The 6000-nt window shown below is 40.3% G+C and overlaps 1 long non-coding RNA gene across 1 annotated transcript in view, besides 1 other annotated feature; it reads right to left on the reverse strand.

Moving 5' to 3' along the window:
* The window catches only part of MIR100HG (mir-100-let-7a-2-mir-125b-1 cluster host gene), a 394543-nt gene extending 390682 nt beyond the window's left edge, over positions 1–3861 (reverse strand). The window contains exon 1 of the long non-coding RNA NR_137179.1: positions 3682–3861. This is a non-coding gene — a long non-coding RNA (mir-100-let-7a-2-mir-125b-1 cluster host gene). The remainder of the gene's footprint in view (positions 1–3681) is intronic.
* Positions 3213–4412: an enhancer, noted in NCBI's record as "P300/CBP strongly-dependent group 1 enhancer chr11:122292931-122294130 (GRCh37/hg19 assembly coordinates)". NCBI's record gives its function as "activates an origin of replication core promoter dependent on BRD2, BRD4, P300/CBP, MED14 and CDK7 cofactors, with strong dependence on P300/CBP, by STARR-seq in HCT116 cells {active_cell/tissue: HCT116}" and the evidence as "EXISTENCE:reporter gene assay evidence [ECO:0000049][PMID:35650434]".

Genomic DNA, 6000 nt, shown 5'->3' on the forward strand with positions numbered 1-6000 from the left:
ACAGTAACTTATACTTTCTGAGAGCTGCTACCTGTGAGGTATCATCTACAATAACAAGGCCACCTTTGCCAGCCTTGCCTTTCCTCTTCTTTCCCTCCCAGTACCTGTCTTGCCATGCTCTGTGCATCTATTCTTTCTGTAACCTCAAGATGGTATAAAAGTGTTAAAAGAACAAACCTTAGCCAAATTAAATTTAACAGAGTTTAATTGAGCAAAGAATGATTCATGAATCAGGCAGCCTCCTGAGGCAGAATAGGCTCAGAGACTCCAACACAGCCACATAGTGGAAGAAGATTTGTGGACAGAAAAAGGAAAGTGACGGTCCGGGCATGGTGGCTCATGCCTGTAATCCCAGCACTTTGGGAGGCCAAGGCCAGTGGATCACATGAGGCCAGGAGTTCAAACCAGCTTGGTCAACATGGTGAAACCCCGTCTCTACTAAAAATAGAAACACTAGCCAGGTATTGTGGTGCATGTCTAAAATCCCAGCTACTTGGGAGGCTGAGGCACAAGAATCTCTTGAACCTAGGAAGCAGAGGTTGTGGTGAGCCGAGATTGCTCCACTGCACTCCAGCCTAGGTGACAGAGTGAGACCCTGTCCCAAAAAAAAATGGAAAGAGATGTACAGAAAAATAGAAATGAGGTACAGAAACAGCCAAGTTGGTTACAGCCTGGCATCTGCCTTATTTAAACACGGTTTGAACAGTTGACCTCCTTTGATTGGCCAAACCTCTGTGATTGGCACAAGAGTAGGCTACAGTCTGTTTACAACTGCATTTAGGTTATAGTTCACGATGTACAGAGAAATCTTTAGGCCAAACTTAAAATATGTAAGAAGGCAGCTTTGGACTAAACTTGATTTAACAAAAGAATCAACCATCTGGTCTTTTCTTTGAGTTTTCATATTTTGTATGACTCCAGTGCACATGTGTGCCTCTTAATACATTTTGTATGCATTTTTTTCTGTTAATCTGCCTTTTGTCAGTTTATTTTCAGTGAACCTGCAGAGGGCAAAGAGGAAGTTTTTCCTTGCCACCTATGGGAGAACATCGCAGGGCCTTCTTCCTAGCTCCCAGAGCACAAACATTTCTTTAACTGGCTCTTGGTAGACAATTTAGGTCAACAGACAATTTCAACCGTGATTAGCACAAGAGTAGCAACTGTTTAAAATGTACAAAAATCCTATTACCTCTTCCCTGAAGCACACCCTTCGTAACACCTATGCTCAAGGCACTGTTCTTAGTGTCAGAAGAGAAAGGAATCAAATTCTAGAACTTTAAAATTACAAATGAGTATGACATGGAAAACAAGTATGCTGTCCTCAGAGTTAAAACAAATATATCTATAATAATCTAGATGGAAACTTTCTGATGGATATTCTGGGTTTATTGAAAAGCAGAGATCACAGCTCTCAATGTGAGCTTTGGTCTTATTCAAATTATGCTGTTTCCCATTATAATTAGAGGCAAACAGATTACTTTCCTCCTCGTTTATCCTTTTTAAAAAATGAGTATTCTGGCCAGGTGCAGTGGCTCACACCTGCAATCCCAGCACTTTGGGAGGTGGAGGCAGGTGGATCACTTGAGGACAGGAGTTCGAGACCAACCTGGCCAACATGGTGAAACCCATGTCTACTAAAAAATACAAAAATTAGCTGTGCATGGTGGCATATGCCTGTAGTCTCAGCTACTAGGGAGGCTGAGGCATGAGAATTGCTTGAACCTGAGAGGTGGAGGTTGCAACGAGCTGAGGTTGCACCACGGCACTCCAGCCTGGGCAACAGAGCAAGACTCTGTCTCAAAAAAATATAAATAAAAAGAGTATTTTGTTGAAAAACAGGAACAAAAACCCTAATATCATTAATTGCTAACAACACTTGCAGGCAGATACAAAGAAATGAACTCACTGAAATACACTCTCAAACATACAGAGCACTCACCACACAACCCCTTTGTGTATTGAGACATTATATACACAAATTCTTAGCTATTGCAGTCACTGATCAATCTATTCCAGATATTCTCCAAGTTTGTACAGTAATTACAACTGGATCTCTTAATTTGAGACTAGACTTCTTCAATCGTCTCTGTTTTTTGAGGTTTTCAACAACTTCACCAAGTATAAAAACCCGGCAATATCTCTTCCATTATAGATTTGATTCCTGTAAAAGGAAGTAATTTGATAGCCAAGGCTGGCTGTCTCTCTTGCTCTTTTTCTCTCTTTATCTTTTTCCCTGCAGTGCTCAGCACACTATCTACACTTCTATCTTCTTTCTTTGAAAGAAGAAATTGCTTTTCTTCACCATTCAATTGCAAAAAAAAAAGAGAGACCATAGACCCATAGTGTGTATCCATATCAACAGTATGACACAAGTCCATATTTTGCCATCAGAAAAGCTTAATTTCCTTTACAATAAAGACTTATTTCTTCTTACGTGAACCGTCTAAGACTTCCAGTGGCTAAGTGCTGGTGAATCTAAAAACAATGGCATCCCAAGCAACCCTCTCTAACACAAGACATTTTAAAACTTCCTTCTTTCTTTTTATAGGTATATTATCAGCCTGGGTGACAGAGCAAAACCCTATCTCAAAAAAAAAAAGCATATTCATTTTGAGCTTCAAATCCCAGTTAATGCAATCATTATAAATACATTTATGTCAAACCTGATGAAATCTGAAAATAAAATACAATTAAACAGAGCATAGCAGAAATTTACATCACAGTGTGAGATAATTTTACCCTAAGTACTTGCACTTGAGGTCAAAGTCATTTAGGCGTCTGTTCCTAGTGTTCCTATAGTTTCCTGAAATTGACAGCGATTGGAGAGCACAGTAACATGCTATCTGTTGACTATCTACAGCATTACCTCATCTAAAAACATTCAACATAACCATGCCCAGACTTGAAAGATCTGGCTGCCTGAACTCTTTCACAGCTCCTCCTTGGAAACTCATAAGTGACCTAAAGTCAAATTTGACCTAAAGTCAAATTTTACACCAAACAGGCTTTTCTTTTCGTTCTTTGTGTTTAGTTGTTTTTTGTTGGTCTGTTTTTCCTATTTGAAAATTAAGGAAATTGAACCAAAGACCCACAAGTTCTCTTCTAGCAAGACCAGAGTACTAGGTTTGAATCTACCCTGCCACTTGGGACGTGAGTGGCATAGGCAAGTTAGTTGAGCCACCACGGCTCACTTTTTTCATTTGTAACATTCTCATCCCAGGGTGGTTGTGAACATTAGGGAAAACATGCATAACAGGCTTAGTGCTGTGCCAATTCTTTGCTACTCCCATGGAGACCTGGAGGACAACTCCCCTCCCCCTGAATATGGTCTGGCCTTAATGATTTGCCTGAATGATAGACCTCTGAGGCCAGGTCATAAGAAGCCTTTTAGACTCAACCTGGGCTTCTGAGAAGAGTAACTCTGGAAACCCCAAATGGCAGATTCATAAGCAAAATAAATGATTGTCATTATTTCAAGTCACTGAATTTTGGGGTGGTTTATTATATAGCAAGAGATAACAAGAGCACCCACGTAAGATCCTCAAGGGAGAGGCAGCTACTAATTCATCTTTATATTCCCCAGGAGTGTCAAATCCAGACAGGTGTCTGTTTACTCTTCATTGCCAAAGAAATGTTTTGCCTGTCAGCAGACAGTAGCTGAAAACTCAGTTTTGCACTTACCCAAGGTGGTGCTGAGCTGAATGAAGCCTTCCTAATGCTGCATTGATTGGCCTCCCATTTGAAGCGATGCCCTTCTTATCTTTAGCTAGAATTCTGCAAGCTCCCTGAAGAGCCACAGGGACACAAATAATCCCACTGAAAAAACCTCACGGAAACTCCTGGCAGGATTAAAACATCAAGAGAACACACAAGGAGAGCACTCACCTTAATGGAATTTGCCTACGCAAGAATGACGCACTTGGGAACTAAAAAATGAACCTTTATAGTCAATGAGTTTTGCAGCATACCTAATATTTCTTGCCAAATCACTAGTAGACTGAAGCACAGCAAATTCCATTTAATTGCCTTGATAAAATACAGATAGGCTAACAGCACCAGTGATCTTGGGGCTACAGGCAGAGATCTTGGGGCTAAAAGAGATCTTGGGGCTACCAGAGATCTTGGGGCTACAGGCTGCCCCAGCATCACTTGGGCTTGCTAGGAGAGTTTACTCTTCCCCAAGAGCTCCGATGGGACACTAGGCACTTTGAATGGATATACTGTTTGTGGTTTTCTTTAACTTTTTGAAAAAATTTTTCCAAAGAGCTCACTAAAAATACACTCTGAGGACTGAAGAGGAGAGAAAACTTTTAGAGAAAATGATGGCACCTTTCTGTATGAGATATTTACCAAAGAAAAACATAGGGCAAGGATACTTTGTGTGAACACCATGTCTTCCATACAGTCACATTTCCCAGACTTTTAAATCAGGTTTCACAATGTGAATTTACATGAAATTCCAGGCCTCCAATTATGCACAGTGGCATGTCAGCACATCAGTCTTTAAGAGCTGGAAGAAAAAAAGTGACACCGAAACTCATCTCCTCCTCCATTTAGAATCATCATAAATGATGTTCCCAGTGAGAATATACTGGATTTTTAAAAAAATAATAATTAGGTTAAATGTTTTCAAACTAGATTTTATAGAATGTATCCTAAAATCCTTTATAGAATGTAACCTTAAAGATCCTTTTTTTTTTTTTTTTAACGAGAGCTATTCTTTGAAGGAACTCCACAGAGGAAGCCCCATTTGCAAAATTGTGAAATGCAGAGATGCTCTTTGTTGGATGGTAGTTTGCAGTAACCCTTGAAATATCTGGCAGTACAAGAAACAACAGATCTATGCCCACAATCTCATTTTACAAATTAGGAAACTAAGGCCTAGAGAAGTTTCATGTAAGCCCAAAGCCACACAGCTAAGTCAGTGGCATTGCCAAGACTAGAACCCAGGACTCCTTAATCCCAGGTGAGGCTCTGCAGTCTGCAGGCTCACTCCTAGTAAGTTCAGACTGGTCACATAGCCTGCGGACATTGGCAGGTGGCATAGTATGAGAGCAGTGGTTCATCACCTTCAGGGCAGGCAGGCAGCTGCCACAATCCTGAGGCTGGCACCCCATACACACAGCAGGCCACCCTCGACCAGCCAGCTGAGACTTACCTAAAGGGAAATGTGCAGCATCACCAGCCAATAAGCATCACCTAGAGACATGGCTGTCTTAACGTGAGACAGAGAAAATGGACACCTTCTAGCTTTAAAAGGCCTGTTTCATACTTCTCTCCCGAATCTTATTCCCTGGAGTCTAGACTCTATCATACTAGGTTCCCTGCTTGAGAATAAACTTTTCCACTAAGCACTTAATCTTTGGCCTTGTAGTATGTTATTTCTCTTTAACACTACCCTACACAATGCCATATGGATATGAATGCACAGCCTAGCTGAATTGAAGCAAGCACTGATAAGATACTCAGTGGATTCAGGCAGAGTAGGTCCCAATTTTCTTGAAGAAAAATGTTAAATTATTTAGAAAACTGCCTTTAATTTCACATCAAATTTTCTGTACAGATATGCCACTAATGTATTCTTAGTCATAATACGCAGTCAGAAATGAAAACTCAGATTTCTTGAGTTGGAAACTAAGGAAATTTAAACAAAAAATAAAACAGATATGGACCACACCACCCAAATCTCATCTTCCTCTTTCTTCCTGGGTTTGATTAATGACTTTCTGGTGCCAGTTGACTAGAACATTAAGCCTCACCAGTCCAAACATTTGAGTAATTCTGGAGTTTTCAGCTAAATTTCTCAGAACAAGCCAAGCATCCACCCACTATACTCCAGACATGACTTCAGAACAGTATTTTTTTCCGTTCCCAGTCTTTAAAACAGCCTGATGCTGATTATAGTAGCTTCCACCCACCATTTAAATGACTGGGTAGTATTACAGAAGATTTATCAAATCAGAAACATATTTAGTAATTTAAGGCTTGCTTGGGACTATA

This window comes from Homo sapiens, chromosome 11 (assembly GCF_000001405.40).
Source record: "Homo sapiens chromosome 11, GRCh38.p14 Primary Assembly".
NCBI lineage: Eukaryota > Metazoa > Chordata > Mammalia > Primates > Hominidae > Homo > Homo sapiens.